We start from the raw sequence: 22,618 nt of genomic DNA on the forward strand, positions 1-22,618 counted from the left end.
TTTGCCCCAGCTATTATCATCTAGTTGGCATTGTAATTGTGATTTCAAAAGGCCATTTCACCATTCTATCAATCCAGCTGCTTCAGGATGATGAGGAACATGGTAAGACCAGTGAATTCCATGAGCATGAGTCCACTGCCGCACTTCTTTAGCCGTAAGGTGAGTGCCTTGGTCAGAGGCAATGCTGTGTGGAATACCATGACAGTGGATAAGGCATTCCATGAGTCCACAGAGGTAGTCTTGGCAGAAGCATTGCATGCAGGATAGGCAAACCCGTATCTGGAGTAAGCGTCTATTCCAGTGAAGACAAACTCTGCCCTTTCCATGATGGAAGAGGTACAATATAATCAACCTGCCACCAGGTAGCTGGCTGATCACCCAGAAGAATGGTGCCATATCGAGGGCTCAGTGTTGGTCTCTGCTGCTGGCAAATTGGGCATTAAGCACTGGCTGTAGACAGGGCAGCCTTGGGGAGTGGAAGTCCATGTTGCTGAGCCCATGCATAACCTCCATCCCTGCCACCATGGCCACTTTGTTCATAGTCCCAGTGGGCGATGGCAGGAGTGGCTGGGGAAAGAGGCCGAGTGGTGTCCACAGAACAGGTCATCCTATCCACTTAGTTGTTAAAATCCTCCTCTGCTGAGGTCACCCATTGGTGAGCACTCACATGGGATACAAGTATCTTCAGTTTTTGACCACTCAGAGAGGTCCATCCACATACCTATTCCCAAATTTCTTTGTCACCAGTTTTCTAATCATGCTCTTCCAAGTCCCTGACCATCCATCCAGCCAAATCATTGGCTACCTCCCATGAATCAGTATATAATCACACATCTGGCCATTTCTTCTTCCATGCAAAGTGCATGACCAGATGCACTGCTCGAAGTTCTGCTCTCTGGGAAGATTTTCCTTAACTGCTGTCCTTCGGGGATGTCCTAGAAAGGGGCTGTAGTGCTGCAGCTGTCCACTTTTGGGTGGTGCCTGCATATCGTGCAGAACCATTTGTGAACCAGGCTCTAGTCTTCCCTTCCTCTGTCAATTGATCATGGGGAATTCCCCATGAAGCCATCAGTGCAGGCTAGGGGAGAGAAGGCAGGGTGGCAGGAGTGGAGACCATAGGCATTTGAGCCACTTCCTCATGTAACTTACTTGTGCCTTCAGGACCTGCTCGAGCCCAATCACATATATACCACTTCATTTGATGATGGAATGCTGCTGTGTACGACCCACTTTATGGCTAGATGGGTGGGTCAGAAAGCACCCAGTTCAGTTTGCAGGTGTGCACCACCACATGCAGCTAATTTATATATTTTTTGGTAGAGATGGGGTTTCACCACGTTGGCCAGCCTGATCTCTGACTCCTGACCTCAAGTGATTTGCCCACTTCAGCCTTTGTTTTTATTTTTAATTTGTAAATAAAATCTTTCATTTGGGTAACTGTAAATCTATGTGATCAAACAAAACATCTTATTTTATTTTATTGCTTTTTACAGCTAGTTAAGTGAAGCAGTGGGGATAAACACTTTTACTCCCAAAAGATGTTTTGTGTTTTTTTTAAATATTTTTTTTGAGACAAGAATCTTGCTCTGTCACCCAGGCTGGAGTGCAGTGGTCCTCCCTCGGGTCACTGCAACCTCCTCCTCCTGGGCTCAAGTGATCCTCCCACGTCAGCCTCCCAAGTAGCTGAGAATACAAGTGTGTGGTGCCACACTTGGCTGATTTTTGTATTTTTTGTGGAGACAGGGATCTTGCCGTGTTGGCCAGGCTGGTCTTGAACTCTTGGACTCGAGCCATCTGCCCGCCTAGGCCTCCCAGGGTCCTGGGATTATAGGTGTGAGCCACTGCATCCAACCCAAAAATGTTATTTTTCTTTTGCCATAAATGACTATATTAAGATCCTTGGCTGGGCCCGGTGGCTCACACCTGTAGTCTCAGCACTTTGGGAGGCCAAGGCGGGCAGATGGCCTGAGGTCAGGAGTTTGGCCAACATGGTGAAACTCCATCTCTATTAAAAATGCAAAGATTATCCGGGCAGTGGCGGGTGCCTGTGGTCTCAGCTACTTCGGAGGCTGAGACAGGAGAATCGCTTGGACCTGGGAGGTGGAGGTTGCAGTGAGCCGAGACCACTCCTTTACACTCCAGCCTGGGCAACAAGAGCAAGACTCTCTCAAAAAAAAAAAGTCCGTGATGAAATTTTAAGAAATTCTTGATTAAAATAATATTATTGTATAAATGTTAAAAAAAAAAAAAAAAAAAGAAAGCACACAGTTCAGGATGGGCAGTTCAGGTTGCGTGGTGACTTGATGACCCATAGTCAGATGTTCATTTTCCACCAAAGCCCAGTAACAGGCCAAGAGCTGTCTCTCAAAAGGACAGTAGTTATCTGCAGAAGATGGCAGGGCCTTCCTCCAAAATCCTAGAGGCCTCTGCTGTGATTCACCTATGGGGGCCTGCCAAAGGCTCCAAACAGCATCCCTATCTGCCACTGACACCTCAAGCACCATTGGATCTGCTGGGTCATATGGCCCAGATGGCAGAGCAGCTTGCACAGCAGCCTGGACCTGTTGCAGAGTCTTCTCCCATTCTGGACCCCTCAAAACTGGCAGCCTTTCGGGTCACTTAATAAATGGGCCGGAGTAATACACCCAAATGAGGAATGTGTTGCCTCCAAAATCCAAATAGGCCCACTAGGCATTGTAACTCTTTCTTGGTTGTAGGAGGGACCAAACGCAGCAACACCGTTAACTTAGAAGGAATGTCTTGGCAGGCCACACACCACTAGATCCCTAGAAATTTTGCTGAGGTAGAAGTTCCCTGAATTTTAGTCGGATTTATTTCCTATCCTCTGGCACGCAAATGTCTCACCAATAAGTCCAGTGTGTTTGCTACTTCTTGCTCACTGGATCCAATCTGCATAATGTCATCAGTGTAATGGACCAGTGTGATATTTTGCGGAAGCAAAAAGCAATCAAGGTCTCTCCAAATAAGATTATGACACAAACCTGGAGAGTTGATATACCCCTGCGGTTAGGACAGTAAAGGTATATTGCTAGCTTTGCCAGCTGAAGGCAAATTGCTTCTGGTAGGCCTTGTGGACAGGAATGGAGAAAAAGGCATTTGCCAAGTCAGTGGCTGCATACCAGGTACCAGGAGATGTGTTAATTTGCTCAAGCAATGAAACCCCACATCTGGTACAGCAGCTGCAATTGGAGTCACCATTTGGTTAAGCTTACGATAATCCACTGTTATTCTCCAAGATCCATCTGTCTTCTGCACGGGCCAAATGGAAGAGTTGAACAAGGATGTGGTGGGAATCACCACCCCTGCATCTTTCAAGTGGCACTAATCTCCACAATCCCTCCAGGGATGTGATACTGTTTTTGGTTTACTATTTTTCTAGGTAGAGGCAGCTCTAAGGGCTTCCATTTGGCCTTTCCCACCATACTAGCCCTCACCCTACCAGTCAAGGAGCCAATGTGGGGGTTCTGCCAGCTGTTAAGTATATCTATGCCAATTATGCATTCTGGCACTGGTGACATGACCACAGGATGAGTCTGGGGACCCACTGGACCCACTGTAAGTCAGACCTGAGCTAAAACTCCATTAATTACTTGACCTCCATAAGCCCCTACTTTAACTGGAGGGCAACAATGACATTTTGGGTCCCCTGAAATCAACGTCAGCTCAGAGCCAGTGTCCTGTATCCGCGAAATGTCTGATCCTTTCCCTTTCCCCAGTGCACAGTTACCCTGGTAAAAGGCTGGAGGTCTCCTTGGGAAGGATGGGAGAAAGATTCACTGCGTAAATTGTCGGCAATGTAGTGGGGTCCTTCCTCAAGGGGATCCGGCCTCCCCTTCATTCAAGGGGTTCTGGGTCTGTAAACTGGCTCAAGTCTAGAAATTGACTGAGGGGCCATGATTCTCTGTTTTTATAATTCAAACTAGTTTTTTGTCCATTCAACCTAGAAGTTTTCTGCTTGTATAAATTAAGTAGGAATGCAGCAGGCTTCCTATTAATTTCGCTTCTAGGAACACCATGATTAATTAGCCAGTGCCAGAGCTCTACATGAGTCAGACTATTCTGATTGCCACTTTGCCTCTGCTGTGCATTATGGTAGCTATGCCCACCTTGCCTTTGACGATTGAGTGCTGCCACTTGGCAACCTGCCACCTCGGGATCCAGTTATCCCCATTGTGTTTAAATTTTGTAGCTAATGATTGCTGTTCCCACCGTTAGATCTGACATACAGAGAAAAGCAATTACAGGGCTCTTCAAAGATGCAGGTGCTGCCCTTACAAATCTGTTCCGCAAGGCATTGGTCAAGGATATATCTTCTGGACCCTCCCAGCTGGGATGAGTAGGTCTGAAGTGGCTAATCCACTCCACCATCCCAGTCTCCCTAATCCTTTGGATCCCTTCCTGTACGTTAAACCAAAGGAGATCACACATTTCCACCTCTCTCACGGTGGGCCATCTTTTAATCCATATTTCAGCTAACCAAGTAAATAAACTATTAGAACCTTTTTTACCTCTCCAAGCTGCAACATTAAAAGCAGAATGCCTACTTAGTGGGCCCAGATCAATAAATCCTGATCCAACCCTATGTTCCTTCCACTATTATCCCATACCCTTAATATCCATTCCCGTATCTGTTCTCCAGATTTCTTTCTATATAAATTAGAGAACTCAAACAGTTCTTTTCGAGTGTAGTACACCTCCTCGTGAGTCACACTCTCAACCTCACATCTAGGGGCCTGCCGGGACTTTAGGTCTAGAAGCAAACAGGGGTGTTGGGGGTGACTCCTGAGGAGAATCAACATTACTTTGCCTGGCAGCTGCCTCAAGAGAGGTCATCACTGTTGCCTTAGGCAGCATAGGATTCATCTCCTCAGACAAAGGTGGAAAGCTGATGACAGCATGGGTTGAGGAGATGTTGCCACTACTGGGGATGGGGAAGCTCATCCTTCTGGCAAAAAAGGCTCATCAGAGTTTACAAACTCAGTTTCCCCGAGTTTCATCAGGGTCCTCCCACACATCCCCATTCCAAGTTGCAGGGTCCCATTCTTTTCCAATCATTGCCCTCACTTTAACAGCAGACATCTGGTGAGGCTGTGTGTGCATCTTTCGGCGTGCATCTTTCATTGCAGGTCAGCCACTTGCATGACAAGAGCTTGTGTCTGTTTTTCCACAATTTCAGCTCTTTCTCTGCAGGAGATAAGACTCTCACTTAGGGCAATCTTAGCAGATTTGAGGCTCAGTATCTGCTTCTGAAGCTGGGAGACAGAATCCCTGAGTTCATCATTTTCTTTCATTACTTTGTCCACTGAACTTAGGAGCAACCAACCAGCTTCATTATGTTACTTGGTTTTCTACATATGGTCAAAGGTATTATGTATAGAGTCACTAAAATCCTTGCCTCTCATGAGCGGTGAATCAGGAGTGTCAAATGCATTTATTTTGCATAATTCTCCAAACGGTTCACGCCAAGGACTATCAGCATTCTCCATACTATTAGAGGTAGAGTCCTTAGCAATTTTTTGGGGGGCTAATCATATTCAGCAGCCAACTCCAGAAACCCCAAAGCCAATGAAAGAACTCCATCCTTAATATTCTGTTCCTCTAGAACCACACCTGGTACCAAAATCTGTATTAGTCAGGGTTCTCTTAGAGGGATAGAACTAATAGGAGATATATATATATATATATATATATATATATATAGTTCTTTAAGATCAATAAAATTAATAAGCCTCTAACCAGTCTGAGCAGGAGAAAAAGAGAAGACATAGATTATTAATATCAGGAAAGAGAGAGATGCCAGACAAGCCAAATACTGACAAGTCTGGGGATGGGACTCCTGGGGGAGCTGCAAATTCCTTCTGGCTGCTGGAGTGTCTGCTAGGACTGCTTTGTTTGCAGTGTGACTGTAGGGCCGTTGGTTTTCAAGGCTACTGTGGAGCTGGGGTAGGGGTGAAGAGAATAGGACAAATTAAAATGCCACAGAGCTCGCTGTTCTCACTGAGTTTCAGCTTGTTTTCTTGAGTAAATGCTCCTTAGATTGTCGCAAGTTTTTTATTAACTTTCGGAGTTCTGAAAAAGTCGACCTTTACAATTTTTGGCAGAGTACTGTTAGTGTGCTATCAGAACAACTTCTATCTGTTTGTAACATCATACTTGGAACGCTTTTCCTTTATAAGCTTCATCAAAGTTTAAATATGTTCAGGAAACTAGTTCCTGGTAGACATTTCCAGAAGAAGAATCCAAAGCCCCAGACTGTGGTTCTTTTTCCCAAATGGACGAACTACATCCTTACTGGGAGTGTGTGCAATGTGTCTCCCATGACTGGGGCTCCTTCTCTCCCTTAACATGTCATGCGATTCCATCCAGATTGTCGAGGCCAGAACCTCTTTTCAGAAGAAATTTTTCTTTTATTATATATCACGAATAACAGAGAATTCAGGCTAATCGTATCCTATTTATTTGTGCACAGATAGAAAGTTAATATCTTGCAGCTATTTTTCCTTGTCCTCCTTTTTTCGACCTTACAGAGACAATTCAAGGAACCATTTGCTGTTCATTAGTTTCCTTAACTTTATTCTTTACTTTAAAAAGTTGTTTGTTTGTTTATTTGTTTGTTTATTTTGAGATGGAGTCTCACTCTGTCGCCCAGGCTGGAGTGCAGTGGTACGATCTCTGCTTACTGCAACCTCCGCCTCCCAGGTTCAAGTGATCCTCCAGCTTCAGCCTCCCAAATAGATGGGATTACAGGTGCCCGCCACCACGCCCAGCAATTTTCGTAGTTTTTAGTAGAGATGGGGTTTCGCCATGTTGGCCAGGCTGGTCTTGAACTCCTGACCTCAGGTGATCTGCACACCTTGGCCTCGCAGAGTGCTGGGATTACAGGCGTGAGCCACCACGCCTGGCCAAAAAGTTGTTTTTTCCTATAATACCTCTTTATGTGATGTATGCTGCAAATCATAGAAAATAATCAGGTTTGTACTTTACTGTGGTTACAGTGCTGCAAGAAGGAATTTTTAAAAATAGAAAATAGAGATCCTCTCCTTAGGCAGCATCCGATCTAATTAGGAGAATAAAACTAGGTAGAGTTAGTAATTCTCAGTTACGACGCCTTGTGTCAGATGTGTTTAGTGAAAGAACAAAGGAGAAGACAATATGGTCGAGCCCTTTATTGCCATTTCATATTTGGATGAGATAGGTAATGATTCATTCATTCAGTCCATTCTTACTGAGCATCAAGTGTGTGCCCGACACTGTACTAGGTTCTGGAGATATGGCTATGACTTCAAAAATGCAGGCTTTGCTCTTGAGCCAACAGCCTAGAGAGAAAGTCTGCCAATAAATATGCAGGCAGGCAAGCAAATGAATAATGACATTCTGTGATAACTGCTGTAAAGAATAGCTACTTTAGATAAAGTGCTACTTTAGAAAAAGTGGCTCAGGAAGATCTTCCTGAGGAAATGAGAGCTGAACTGAAACTTGGAGGAATAGAATGAGCAAACCATAGAGATGGTCACTAGAAACCATTTCAGGCAATTCAGAGACCCTGAGGAAGGAAGGACTTGCCCACATTTTAGAAACAATAAGGAGGCTCAGGTGAGGATGGTAGGGAACCTGAAAGAGTGGTGTGTGATGAAGCTGGAGAATTTGGTGCCAGTTCATGCAGGCCTTAGAGGCTGTGGTGAGAAGTCTGGTTTATCCTAAGAGAAAGGGAAACCACTGAATAGTGTAAAGGAAGGGTGTGTATGACTCGATTTATAGTTTACTGAAAGATCACTTTGGCTGCTATATAGAGAATACATTGTAGGAGGAAGGAATGGAAGTAGGAAAAAATACTCCAAGTCTCTTGCCCTTATCCCTGCCCTGAGAACAAACAGAAGAAAAGTCATTTCCAGTTGTACAGAAATGTCTATTTGGAAATCCCTGCAATACAATGGAGAGGTCAGAGGATTCGGTGCCAGAAATCTCTGCATTTGTATCCCACCTCTTCCACTTACAAGCTGTGCGAATGAGGGCAAGTAGTTTAACTTTTTTTTCTTTTTTTTTTTTTTGAGACGGAGTCTCGTTCTGTTGCCAACATAATTTAACTTCATTAAGCTTCTGTCTACTTGTTTGTAAAATGAGGAGGAATAATACCTAGCCTTTAGGGGTTTAGGAAGTGATATGATAGGGGGTGTGTGGAAAGTACCTGCAGATGGTCTCTTAGGGGTACCCAAAAAGATGGTCTGTCCTCTTTCCTCTTCCTGGTGGTGAACTTCGATGTGAGACAGAACAGGAAGATGGCTGCTTCCTGCAAGGAGCCTCTAGACATCCATGCATGTCTGAGTGTGGCAAGTGTCCTCTGTGATGGCACTGATACTGATCAGGGCTGTGTAAATAGAGTCAACCCTAATGCCGCTGACTTAATCGTTTCGTTCCCGAGAAGGGAGTTGACCTTAGTAGAGGAAACTGTTACAATTTGGTAGCCATTTGAGCTCCTGGTTCTCTAATTTAAATTGTCTTGAAGGAATTTGGAGCAAGAGAGAAGCATCGATAGCATAGTGTTTAGGAGTGCTGGCCTTGGGGTCAGACAGACCGAGATTCAAGTTCTAGTTTTGCCACTGACCAGCAGTGTGACCTGAAGCAAGGGCCTCTCTTCTCAGCTTCTTCCTCTGTGATATAAGGACAGAGCTCATGAAGTTGTCATAAGGATGGCAGCAAACCCTTAGTTTAACCACCAGCGTTACAGGTATGATGTGACTTGGGATCATGCATATGAAGTGGCTAGCATGGAGCTTCGCACATAGTATCACCTGTTTTATTTTTTTAATTAAATTTTTTGTTTCATTCAGCAGGTTGTGGACTTAAAAAATTACTTTTTTCAAATAGTTGATTTTTTTTTTTTTTTTGAGACGGAGTCTCTCTCTGTCACCCAGGCTGGAGTGCAGTGGCGCTATCTCGGCTCACTGCAACCTCTGCTTCCTGGGTTCAAGTGATTCTCCTGCCTCAGCCTCCTGAGTAGCTGGGATTACAGGGGCCCACGACCACGTCCAGCTAATTTTTGTATTTGTAGTAGAGACGGGGTTTCATCATGTTGGCCAGGCTGGTCTCAAACTCCTGACCTCGTGATCCGCCTGCCGCAACCTCCCAAAGTGCTGGGATTACAGGTGTGAGCCACTGCGCCTGGCCAGTAGTTGATTTTTTAACCAATGAATAAAAATTGTGTATAGTTGGCTGAGTGCGGTGGCTCACGCCTGTAATCCCAGCCCTTTGGGAGGCCAAGGTGGGCAGATCACCTGAGGTCAGGAGTTCAAGACCAACCTGACCAACATGGAGAAACCCCGTCTCTACTAAAAATATAAAATTAGCCGGGCATAGTGGTGCATGCCTGTAATCCCAGCTACTCAGGAGGCTGAGGCAGGAGAATCGCTTGAATCCAGGAGGCAGAGGTTGCAGTGAGCCAAGATTCCGCCACTGCACTTCAACCTGGGCAACAAGAGTGAAACTGTCTCAGAAAAACAAAAAAATATGTATATATTCATCGTGTACAACATGATGTTTGGAAATATTTTTATGTTGTGGAATGGCTAAATTGAGCTAATATATGTATTGCCTCACATACTTATTTTTTTGAGGTGAGAAAACAAAACCTATTCTCTTAGAAAAGCACTCCCCTAATGAAATTTAGCATCTGTTATTATGACTGCTTACTTTATTATGACTGCCCTTTTGTGAACTGCTATTGAGATCGAGTGAAATGACAAGGGTACTTTCTGAGCAACCTGCGCATTATGAGGCCCCACTCAAGCGTAAAAATGAAAACTGAGCCACTGGTCTGTTTTTGTTTTTGCTTTGCTACCTTTCCATGGCCGTAGGTGGACAATCAGCTCATTGGTACCACGCAGCCCTTCATGCTCTATGTGACTCCCCTGAGCAATGAGAATGAGGTCATCGAGACCGGCCCAGCTGTGCAAGTCAACGCAGTGAAGTTCCCCAGTAAGAGTGCACTGACCAACATCTACAAGGTGGGCTGGTGGAGGAGGCTGGTGGGTTGATGCCATGCTGGAACGTTGATTTGTTCTCTCACAGCCAAGTCTCAGAGCAGCAGTGCCGGGTGCTGATGGGAATAGCTCTGCAGGGTTAAACCACATGTGACATAATAGATTGTTTGGAGGAATTGACAGGAACTCCTCCTTCTCAGTTGTGTTTTCAGTGACCTTGCAGGTGACAGTTTGATGGTACTGAGTCCATATAGGCCAGAGTCCATATTCATCAGAGTGAAGTCACTGTAGGAAAGTATAGCATCTTCTAGATAGGTCAGGACCAGGCATGATCCAGATCTATTATTAAAAATAGAATAACCCCAGCTGGGCTCACTGGCTCTCACCTGTAATCTCAGCACTTTGGGAGGCTAAGGCGGGTGGATCTCTTGAGCCCAGGAGTTTGAGACCAGCTTGGGAAACATGGTGAAACCTCATTTCTATAAAAAATACAAAAATTAGCTGGACCTGGTGGCAAGCACCTGTGGTCCCAACTACTTACTTAGCAGGCTGAGGTGGGAGGTCCTGAGCCTGGGAGTTCGAGGCTACAGCGAGTCACGATCACACCACTGCACTCCAGCCTGGGTGATAGAGTGAGATGTGCACCTGCGCGCGCGCACACACACACACACACACACACACACACACACACACACACAATAACCCTGAAATATTGGGAAAGGGCTATGATGGGTCTGACCTTGAGACAGACGTGCTGCTACCTAAGTTACCACACTGTTTACCAAAAGCAGATAGTTACAAATGATAAACTTTCTTTCTTGGAGGAGTCTCCACGCACAAGCTAGCTGTTCCAGCAGCAAACTCTGGAAAAGTGGGAGCCAACCAGGGGTTGCTTCCCATATTTCTGGTCCTTTATCACCAGTGCTGATGGGACCAAGCCTGCCTGTAGCCCTCGGATCCACAAGCCCAGCCATGCTGCTCCTTAAATTAGCTGCCATCCATCTGAGCACACACCATAAAGTTCATCCACCACAGTGCATCTGAGGCTGGAATCCTGACTAATGAGGCCCAGATTGCCTGGGAACCAAACAATAGAATGGCAAACCATCTATTAAACATCTTTTGGAGTTTTTAGTTAATCATAACAATATAGAGAGAGATAACCCAGAAATAATTTGGCATTATAGTTATAAAGCCACATGATTAATGAAAGCATACCATGTCATTGAGGCCTTCTTAATAGCACAGATGAATGTTCCTTCTGGTGTTCACACTTTAAATCAGAATTTCTTTATCTCTAGCATCTGATGATCACAGCTCAGAGATTCACAGTGCAAATTGAGGAGAAACTGCTCCTCAAGCTGCTAAGTTTCTTTGGCTACGATCAAGCAGAATCAGGTAATGTTGAATGTTCTATGTCTGTGTTTGGGAATTGGTCCAAAGATGGTATTTTTGAGTCTGTTTGTAAAAATAGGTAGCCCCTTGGTGTCTGATAGGCTCCCTTTCCACATCTCAGCCTGAGCTAGGAAGCTAAGGCTTGTGTTTCAGTTGTGCTTTTTCAAAGTATTACTTGTTGTCTGAGTTATCTCTGTGAACTAAAGGAGCCATTCAGAGGGTCTTCTGGAATCCTGGAGTATCCAGTGGTATACCTTTGGGAAGCAGTATACTATTCCTCTTTGCTTTGCATTTTTTTGATTCATCTGCTCTAGGATGACAGAAATGATATTAGTCATTTAGCAAACCATTTTGTTTCCTAACCTTTGTTTCTTAAACAGACTCCAGGCCAAGAATCAGAAATCCCTTTGGCAGTTCCTTTGGTTTAGTTGAGAAAATAAAATTGGCTAGCCTCAATTCATTAACTTTTGACATCCAAACCCTTGTGCCTTTTTGTAATTACAAAGGTTTCTGCTTATTTACTCTCTTCTTTGTAGAAGAGAGTAAGATAAGCTATTGAAAAGCCCAGGTTTCCAGCAGTGCTACAGAAATAATTGAGCTGTTGCTTCTTTTCGATTCCTCATCACAGCCTTTCCTTCCGCTCTTAGATGGGCTTTTCATGGCTGTGTATACAGCTTAGAAAAAAGTCAGTAATACTCAGTCTTTTGAAGCCTAAACTAAATATTGAGCCTGAAGAAATGATAAGAAAGAGGCTTTTATGTTTATCTGCCCATGTTGGCTAGAGAAAAAAATCACTGGGAATGTGTGTACACATGTACATACATACACACAATGCAAGAAAAATATTTTTGTTCTTTTTATCCCAGATTTAGAATTTAAGCTTTAAGAGTATTTGGGATCAAGAGCAAGATCCTGTCTGTTTAATGCTGTGTTTTCCACTTTGGGTTGGAACGCCAGTGTTTATTTGTATTCAGACAGCCACTTGGGAGCCTGCCTGCCAGGTATCCATTCTGTTTTGGTACCTTCCTGGGAAGTTTTACTTTAAATTTGATTCGACATGCTTTTCTTGTAAATTTTCTTATAAGTTGCTGTAATAAATTTCTCCTCAAGCATGGATTTAGACTTTTGTAAAATCCTTGCCTGCCTTTCACTGAAGTGGGAGCTGACTAAGGGGTTGCTTCCCATGTTTTTGGTATGTTGTCACCAGTGCTGATGGGATGGGACAGAGGCAGCATGCAGCCCTCAGGTCCACAAGCCCAGTCCTGCTGCTCCTTAAAGTACCTGCCATCCTGTCTGTAGCTGTTTCTGCTTCCTCAGCATAAATGGGCAGGTCTCTGTTGCAGTATCATTTTTCTGTAAGTAGCACTGATGATAGCTTACAACATAAATGTGTTTGATAAGTAGGTATGTGCCAGCTCTCTGGTTTTATTTCCAAGGCACGTGAAGCCAAGGCAAAATATGCTGCCCAGTTGGATGTGCATACAGCATCAAGTGCAAAGAGCACATTGCTGTGTTGTAGCCCATGCTACTCCTGCTACTCCTTTTATTTCATGAGATGGCAAGTAAAAAATCTGCCTTGATTGTCCTATTTAAATGGATGTCCACCATTTGGGAGACAGGGCGCTGCTTGTAGTGATATTACGTCTTTACAGCCCGCAGCCTGATTCTTTTTCAGGCATTTATGTTTCACTCAGATTCGTGAATTGGTGATATCCATTTTGATTCAGTTACACTGCACTCCAAGACCTTATTTGGATATGATCCTAGGAAAATAAATTTAGATAATCTGGGTCATTGATAATAACATTGCTAACAAATACACCTGTGGCCTTTGGCTTTTCCATCTGGATGATTTTTTCCAAAGATGACATCTGTTGGATGGTATGGAGTCACAAGTTAACATGCTAGTCTTCTTTTTTGATAAACAACACAAAACAGATCTACTCTTACAAAGAATGGCATCAGAATACTATACACGTCACTGTACCCTCACAAACTAAATCGAGAGTGATAGATGGTTTCCTTTTTTTGATGATTTTTTTCTATGTGAATACAAAGTGGATTCTGTGGATCATGAGACTAAGAAATTCTTTTTTGTTTTTTTAATTCTTCCTTTGTACCAGAGGTGGAAAAATATGATGAAAACCTCCATGAAAAGACAGCTGAGCAAGGTGGAACACCAATTCGATACTACTTTGAAAATCTCAAAATCAGCATTCCTCAGATCAAGCTAAGTGTGTTCACCTCCAACAAGCTCCCATTGGATCTTAAGGTGAGCTGCTATTTGGGTAAATTTTTTTAGATGATTTTTCCTTGGAAAAGAATGAGTGTGTTTACTATTTGTTGTTTGTTGTTGTGTGTGTGTGTGCTTTTTTTTTTGTCCCTCATCATCATTCATAGCAGACATTTTATTTTTACAGATTTCCTTTTTCAGAAGGTTTATTGACTTACGTGTATTTGTCTTTAAAAAAAAAAAAAAAACGAAACTTAAATACGACATTGCCGAAGATCAAGGAGTAGCTCAAGAGATTCACAGATAATTCTGTAAAACCCATTTGCTCTCTGTTTAGCTCCTGGCTTACCTCAGTGAGATAAAAGCCTTTTTCCTAAAGTTGTGTCCAGGATCAAGAGAAAAAGCAGTCAAGACAGCATCTTCTTTTTGTGCCCGAGGCCTGCTCACCTTCCTACTTCTCTCTTCCTAAGTATCCACCTCTTTTTGAATGATTGTCACTAGGATTGTCTACTAGGAGTGTTTAAAGTCGACTCAGCCCACTTACCCACTGGGATATGGCCTTCTCTACCACCACATCAGGATGAAGCCCTTAGACCATCTTGATGACTACTTACTAGACACAGCCTGAACACCGTCTTCATTTTCAGCCATAAAGTTTATCTTCATCAAGGAAGAAAGCTGGGATTCAAATCCAAGCCTGTCTGACTCTAAAGTCTATTTTTTTTTTCACTATACTATGCTTCCCCATAGAACATAAGGAACCAGAGAATTTTAGACCTGTGAGTCCTCAGTGATGTACTTGCTTGGTAGACAGGGAAATTGAAGTTCAAAGTGTTTTGTCAGTCAAGGCTGTGTGGCTAGGAAGTGATAGGAGCAGGAGTGGATCCAGGGGTGTTAGAAAGTCTTTCCTTAGTTTGAGTCAAAGTCAGCCCCCTGCAGCTTGGACCCATTGGTTCTGGTTTTTCATTCTGTTGCACTTAAAGATAATACTCAAGACCTCCATCTTCCTACTAACCACCAGTCGAGGACTCTTCTCACTGCCCCATGCTGCCTCCTCTAAGATGCTACAAGATAGTCATCTTGCTGCGCAGAAACAGCTAGAGATATGAGCAGATAAGAAGTAAGTCTAGGGTCCTAACGTAGATGCCCGCAGGAGCTGCGCTGGCGATGCAGCGAGTGGAGCTGCACACCGGGGTGGTGTCGTGTCTGCCCAACCAGGAGTGCCTGCTCCATCTGAAGGGGCCGCCACAACCCGCTCCAGCCGCTTGCTGTCATGGAGGAATGTGAACCTGGTGTTGCCAGATCTTCAGATTTTTAAAGAGAAACCGGAAATCTGGATTTTTATGTGGAATCTCCTGGTTTTTAAACATTGGCAACCAATTCAAGTTTTTTGGTTTTTTTAAACCTTGTGGGCCTAACAAAACACATGTGTGGGCCTCATGTGGCCGTGTCTGCCAACTCACAGCTTCTAAAATTGACACACAGGTAATGAGACAGTAGTCTGGTCAACATCAGATCACATTTGGGTAAGGGTAGGGCAAGGGTGACAGCATTGGGGTGGCAAACTGGGGCCAAGCCACAGGGAGTGCTGGTGGGGACCTGGAGCAGGAATGGCTCTTGCAGCCATCTCTGGAAGAGTGCAGCGTGCCCTTCACTCACTGCCCTGTCTGCTTCATTCGCTTTAATTTCATGTTTCCCAGGAGATTAAAGATACTTATAGTTAGCATGGGAGTGAGGGGAAAACCATGGGAAAACCACTATCTTGTTAATATCCACAAGTATCCACTTGACTTGTGTGACCTTTGGAATGGGTTTGTTTGATAAAGTATATATTCACCCAGAGCACTTGGCACTTGCCCAGCAAACCAATGTGAAGCATTTCCTGAGGGTTGAGGACTTCTTGTTTTTAAAATCATCTTACTAAGAAACACAGACACCTCACTATTCCCTTCAAATTGCTCCCAGCAGAAAACTCCCCAGACTGAGAAAAGCAGTCTGATTTTCTGCAGTTGAAGTAGCTCCAGCCCCCCCCAGTTACATGATGGTTGTGTGTGCGCTCGGCATACAATCAACGAAATCATTTCAGTTGAATGTTTCATCTGGCACTGAATTGAAGGAACATTTTCAGGGCATTTTTCAAATCATTGTGAAACAATTACATGGAGCAGCCATGTGATGAGGTGTGTAGGGGGCACGCCGAGTGTAGTAAGTTAATGTTTCCAGCAGGGTGCGGGGAATTGGGACTAAAGAGTTAAATTCTCAGCTTGTGGGAGTCACATTTTACTGTGTCTTGAGTCTCCTAGTGGAGTCTGGGACTCATAAAATAATGTCATTTATTCAAAGAGTTTTCTAACAGAGTAATATGCCTTTATTAGTAGCTCTTAGAAGGGTACTATGCTCTTTTAGATGAATATATAATGGCTAAAAGTGTGTGCTTAGAAAATGGAGTCCTGTCCCTGAACAGGAGTCACGAGAGCCTGACTAAAAGGTAAACCACGTCTTTGGTATTGAAGGAATAATTATCTTGATTCTTCTGACTCCAGGCCAGAAGTGAGACTGTCAGAAATCTCAGAGGGAAGTCTCTTCAGGTTTACACTGAGGGTACATTGTTGCCAGATATAGTGTCTGTTCAAAAGGACTGAAAGCAGTTTCACATCTGCTATCTCAATTGGATTCCTTACTCTGCGGTGGAAGAATGGGGAGATAATAGTCCCATTTCACAAATGCAGAGACCAAAGCACAGCATTCCTGCCTGACTCCCCATTCTCTCCATTCTCTCAAGTTTGCGTGTTAGAAAGTGGCCGAGTGATACTGAAAATGCCAGGTAGTTTATACGTGTTTTTGGCTTTTTTTAAAGATCAAAAGAGGCCAGGAGCCTTTAAACGGTTTCATGAGGTGGCCTACAGCAGTCCTTTTTCCATTTAGAGCATTGGGGTATTACAAAAGAAGGGCTTTAATTGAGCAATCTAGTTTGGAAGAAAACCCACATTTTAATGGTCAGAGTGAGAGGGTGGGGGTTAGGGGGAGTTTCGAACAAAGACACTATTTAAAAAGCCTAAAACTGTCTTCTCAAAGGCTTGAAATAATTTGTTGGGAAACTTCAGACCCTTTACTTTTTTCCTCCCCTCCCTAAATAAAAACCAGATTTGTTAAAAGGAAAAAAGATCCAGTATTGTTAATTGTATTTCAGAAAGTGCCAGAGAGGGAAATATCCCTGTAGTTTTAAACATTGTCCCAAGAGGGAAATAGGCAAATACCCTGCTTCACATAAACAGTCTCTATGTACCATAAATAAACCTTTAAAGAATGAATTCCAGACAGTTTTGTTTAGTGCAGGATAAACTAAGAAAGGAAAGGACATGGCCGAGGGAATAGCTTGGGATCTGAGACCTTATGGTATATAGACAGGTATTTCTTCTTTCAACTCTATGAAGTTTCTGGAAGACTTCAGCAGTTTTCGCGTGGGGAGGTAGAAATAGACAGTTTCCTATTTTTATTAGGAGCTTATGAACACAAGATTGCCTTCTCCAAAATCCATTTTATAACAGGAAACTGTCTGCTGCTTGAGTAAATAAGCATCAACTTTGTATACTACTGTATTTGATTAGTCATTTAGTTACTACAAGAATAAGCCCTGTTTGGCTCGTTCCCTCATCTCGACTTTGACTGTCCAGATTAACCTGAAGGTGGCAGAATAATTCATACCACTGGGCTGTATCTCAGCTTTTTCAAATGTGGAGTCCCAAAAGCAGTAAATGACTAGGTAAGGATAACTTTTACTTAAGGGCCAGAATATTTCCTCGATTCAGACCAAGCACCTTAGTCATTCGGAAAGGTAATAGTGTCTATGATGAAGGTTTTGACATTTCAGTAGAGGTTTCAAAGTCTTTGCTACTTTGTGTGGTTCTTCTTTAATATTTGGTTGCAAGGACAAAGTTGGGGTATAAAAGCTTTTTACCTTAAGCCTTTGTTTTGATCTCATTTTCTCTTCTCTGAGAATAAAGTAACGCTCAAAGTAGTATTGGCAAAACAGAGTGCTGAACTGATTGTCAGTACCCTGTTTTCCCAGCGTGTTTATTTTATGACTCTAAGCAAAGCAGTTGAGCTTACTGAACGTTCACTCAGTTTCTCCGACAGTGAAATGAGGAAAATAAGGCCTGCTCACGTACTTTATCATCACTCACCATGAGGTGGGGTGAGGCATGGGTGAATGAATAGCAGAACATTTTTCAGGAGAAATAATACCCTCCATTCTGGCTTTCATGCTTTCTACCTAATAGGTAGTTGCTATTGTGAAAATGCACATATTCAAGTCTAAAATCAAGTAGCTAGCCATATGACTTTAGGCCATCCACTTAACATTTCTTGTTTTATTTATACCAAAGAGAGAGAGAGAGAGAGGGAGAGTTAGGCTGAATTAACTTGATGTTGGACTTTTTTGCGGGGTGGGGAAGACAGGGTCTCACTCTGTCAGGCTGAAGTGCAGTGGCATGATCACAGCTTACTGCAGCCTCAACCTCCTGGGCTCAGATGATCCTCTCACCTCAGCATCCCAGGTAGCTGGGATTATAGGTGCGTGCCACCATGCCTGGCTAATTTTTGTATTTTTTTGTAGAGACAGAGTTTTACCATGTTGCCCAGGCTGGTCTCAAACTCCTGGGCTCAAGTTATCTGCCCACCTCAGCCTCCCAAAGTGCTGGGATTACAGGCATGAGCCGCTGGGCCCAGCTCAACTTGAGGTTGCTATTAATCTCTAAAATATTCTGAAATTACTTAGCAGGAGGTTATCAGTGACTTCCCAAGGCACCAAGTCCAGTGACCTTTCTCTCTAGCCTTATCTTTGTAGCATCCTCTGCCATTTTGACATTGCTGACTTCCCTGTTCTTGACATCTGTCCTTTCTGGTTCTCCTCTTGCTCTGTTGCTTCTCTGCCTATTTCTGTTTTCGTTTATTCTACTTCTTCTTTTCCTGATCTGTATGTTAAAGGTCCAGATTTTTCTCTGTGAACTGTCTGGTTATGTCACTTGTCTATTTTTCTGTCAGGCCTTTTATCTCTTCTAATTTTAGAAGCTCTTTCTAAAAGTTATGTCTTTGATGAAAGTTGCAAGTATTTTTTCTTCAGCTTTTTGTCTTTTTACTTTGCTTTTGGCGTGTGTGTGTGTGTGTTTGTGTTTAATTATACAAGAGCTGTTTATTTTTATGTTGTCAAATTTATTAGTCTTTTGCTGTTTTGAATCTAATTTTTTTTTGAAAACTACATGTTCAGAGAAATTCTCTAGTAACAAACTGTAGAAATGATCCCTGAAAGCATAGTCTTGAATCTGAATTTTGAGTCACAAAAAAGTTTTCCCTTCTCTATGGTTTTAAAAAATTTCACCCTTTCTTCCATTATATGATTGAATTTCAATTAAATGTATTCTTGTTCCAAAATAATTTAAGGCAGTCTCAGAAGACACATGCAAAAAGATTATAAGTAAGAAAACAGAATAGAAATGTCATTAAGTTGCACATGAAATTTTAATATATAATAAAGAGACTTTAATTCAGTGGGGAGTATATAGACTTTTCAATAGTGCTATTAGACTAAATCACAATAGAAAAAATATAAAATTAGATTTATTCTTGACACTTTATGTAAGGATAAATTCCAAGTGAATCAGAGATTTACTGGTAATATTAGCATGAAAAAGTGTTTTTATATTCGGTAAGGAAGAGTATTTGGCATGCCTTGTAAACACCTTGAAATATCAATCATTTTAAATAAAGATATAATCAGAAAATAGACCCATATCCAGAGATTGTTAACCAGCTTATAGCAGACCCAGGCTAGTTGAGAACTTCAAGAAAAGACAGATCGTGGGGGCGGGGTTGGGGAGTGTCCATGTGAAGCCATTGGAAAGCTACCAAAACAGCCAGGACTGGAGAGTTCAAGATTTATGAGAGGAGAGAAACTCAGTAAGGTGAGCCCAACATTTATTTTGCTTTTATTCTTGAGACTTTTTCTGATTTGTAAGCAGTGTGGGGAGAAAGGTGAAGAAGCCAAGCAGAAAGCAGCTGCCAACAGGCAGAGAATGCAAGTAAAGCTTTTGGCAGTCTCATGGGGCTAGCAAAGCAAAACTTAGACTTCATTGCTACTAAGAGAGCTGGTAATTGAAGGGCTAATATCTTACAGAGAAGGGACAGGCAGAAAACAAACCCCAATAATCTGAGGTACTTTCTTTCTTGAGATATTTGATGATTTCTAAGTGACACAGTCTGAGAGAAATCAAGCAAAAAGTGGCAGCTAAGAGGCTGAAGAACTTAAACAGTCTTCTAAGCAGTTTTGTGGTACTAGGGAGATTAAAAGTGGAGGAATGGCATTGGTTTTCGTTGAGACTGCTAAAGGACTACACCAGGCCTCATAAGGACTAAAACACACCAGAACTTAGATAAAGACTGAAACACAGCCTTGAGAAAACCCAAACCCTGGTTGATTTAGGCATTATGCTTCTTACTCTAACTGCCTACCAGAAGCTAAAAACTCATCCAAAGTCTCTGTAAGTTTTCATACAAAATGTTGCATTCAGTCACAAATTACCAGGCCAAGATGAGATGAGACCAAGAGAAAAAACAAACACTAGAAACAGAACCATAGATAAACTGGATGTTGGTATTTTTAGACAGAGAATTTAAAATACTATGAAGGTATCTAAGAAGTTTACCAGAAAACTATAATTTTTTTAAAAAAATTATCAAATAATAAGGGAAAATTATAGACCAGCACTTTTTCATGAATATAGAAGAAAGAAATCTGAACAAAATATTAGTAAATCAAAAACAGAAATATGTAAGAAGGCTAATATAACCAAATTGGATTTTTTCCTGGAATGCACATTCAGTTTCACATTTGCAGATAAATTTGGTATTTTACCACATCAACACGATAAAATAGAATATGATTATTTAAAAATGCATAAAAGCTGTTTGACAAACTTTAACATCCATCTACAGTAAAAATTCAGCAAGCTAAAAATAGAAGATAACTGCTTTCATCTGTTTAGGTCTATCTGGTAAAAAGCTACAACAAACATCATACTAATTGGTGAGATAGTAAAAGCTTTTTCTTGAGATAAAGGAAAGATACCCATTATCACCACTTCTTTCACCGTTACACGGGAGTTCAGCCAGTAAAATAAGTCAAGGATGATCTTTTTGAAAAAGAAGTAAAAGGCATAGGAGCTGGAAAGGAAAATAAAAAGTTCGTTATTTGTAGAAAACACGATCGTTTACTAGAAAATCTAAAAGTATTTTCAGATTAGTTATTAGAATAAGTAAATTTAGTAAGGTCACTAGAGACAGTATAGAAAACAGTTATATTTCTACATGTCAGCAATAATAACAGAGAAAAGAAAAATTTGGAGGCTATTAAGAAAACAGGTCTGGGTGTGGTGGCTTACACCTGTAATCCCAGCACTTTGGGAGGCCTAGGTGGGAGGATCACTTGAGCCCAGGAGTTCAGGGCCAGCCTGGGCATCATAGGGAGACCCTGTCTCTACAAAAATGGAAGGAAGGAAGGAAGGAGGGAGGGATAGAGAGAAGGGGGAGGAGGAGAGAGAGATGAGAGGGAAGAGGAGGGAGGGAGGGAGGGAGAGAAAGAAAACATTAACTACTGTATCATTATCTATTATTGTGTAACAAATGACGCCAAATTGCAGTGGTTTAAAACAACCACCATCTTATTTGTTTACAATTCTGTGGGTTAATAATTTGGACTAGACCTAGCTGGGTGTTTCTTCTGCTGGTCTCACCAGTGGTTGTTCATATGGCTGCACTCACCTGGCAGTTAAACGCGATTAAATGGTATGAGATGACCTCAGTCTCATGTCCAGCGGATTGGTGCTGGCTGTCAGCAGAACCCCTTTCCACATGGTCTCCCATCTTCAAGGAAGCTACTCCCAGCTTCTTCACGTGGTGGAAGCATCAAAACAGGCAGTGCAGAAGCTCCAAGCTCTCTTGAGGCTCAGGCTCAAAGGTCACACATTATTATATCTCTCGCATCCTATTGGCTGAAGCAAATCACAAGGCTAGTGAAGATTCAGGTGGAGGGAACATAGACTTCACCACTTGACAGAAGATGCAAAGAATATGTGGTCATTTTAAATCTACCACAGTATCTAAGAATAAACCCAACCAAAGACGTATAAGACCTCTACACAGAAAACAATTAAACATTATTGTGAAAAATTAAAGACCCACATAGATGAAGGGACATACCATGTCGATAAGTTGGAAGATTCGGTAAAGTTGTCGTTGCTCCTCAAATTGATCTGTAGATTCAGTACAGTCCTGATGAAAATTCCAGCAGTTTTTTTGGAAGCAAATTGACAAGCTGATTCTAAAATTTCTCTGCAGTTGAAAAGCGCAAAGAGCAGCTAAGGTAACCCTGGAGAAAAAGTACAAAGTTGGGGAGAGCTTACACTATTCGATTTCAGAAATTATTACAAGACTACAGTAATTAAGACAGTGTGGCATTAGTAGAAAGCAGAGCAAAGTGAAACAGAAGAGAGAATCCAGAAATGGATGTATAATACCATCACGTGACTTTTGACAGCATTTATGCCATACTGCGGTAGTGGAACGGATGACCTTTTCAGTAAATATTACTTAGTTCAATATTTATCAGAAAAAAATGAATCTTGGCCACTCCCTCCTACCGTACATAAAAATAAATTCTAGGTGGAGCATAAATAAAATCTAGGTGTGAAGAGTAAAACAATAAAACTTGTATAAGTAAACGTGGGAATATCTTTATGACCTTGGTGTAGACAAAAATTTCTTAACCAGGACACAGAAAGCTCTTACCATATAAGAAAATATTGATAAGGCAGATTTCCTTAAAATTAAGACTGTCTGATCATTAAAAGACACCATTTAAAGAGTAGTAAGATAAGTCACAGAATGGAAGAAGATATTTGCAACACATCTGTTCAACAGAGGACTTGGTATACAGAAT

The 22,618-nt window shown here is 42.2% G+C and overlaps 1 protein-coding gene and 1 pseudogene across 2 annotated transcripts in view, besides 1 other annotated feature; one reads left to right on the forward strand and one right to left on the reverse strand.

Annotated features, from left to right (window-relative positions):
• The window catches only part of VPS13D (vacuolar protein sorting 13 homolog D), a 282,018-nt gene that overhangs the window by 160,279 nt on the left and 99,121 nt on the right, over positions 1–22,618 (forward strand). For both annotated transcript variants that reach the window (NM_015378.4, NM_018156.4), the window contains 3 exons: positions 9,873–10,022; positions 11,300–11,396; positions 13,517–13,665. In NM_015378.4, coding sequence (NP_056193.2) covers positions 9,873–10,022; positions 11,300–11,396; positions 13,517–13,665 — 396 coding nt within the window. The remainder of the gene's footprint in view (positions 1–9,872; positions 10,023–11,299; positions 11,397–13,516; positions 13,666–22,618) is intronic.
• Positions 15,248–15,542: a silencer, noted in NCBI's record as "tiled region #10571; K562 Repressive non-DNase unmatched - State 14:Gen5'". NCBI's record gives its function as "represses a minimal TATA promoter and a strong SV40 promoter by Sharpr-MPRA in K562 cells {active_cell/tissue: K562}" and the evidence as "EXISTENCE:reporter gene assay evidence [ECO:0000049][PMID:27701403]".
• Positions 18,860–18,943, reverse strand: LOC124904680 (uncharacterized; annotated as a pseudogene).

The sequence above is a fragment of the Homo sapiens genome, chromosome 1 (assembly GCF_000001405.40).
Source record: "Homo sapiens chromosome 1, GRCh38.p14 Primary Assembly".
Lineage (NCBI taxonomy): Eukaryota > Metazoa > Chordata > Mammalia > Primates > Hominidae > Homo > Homo sapiens.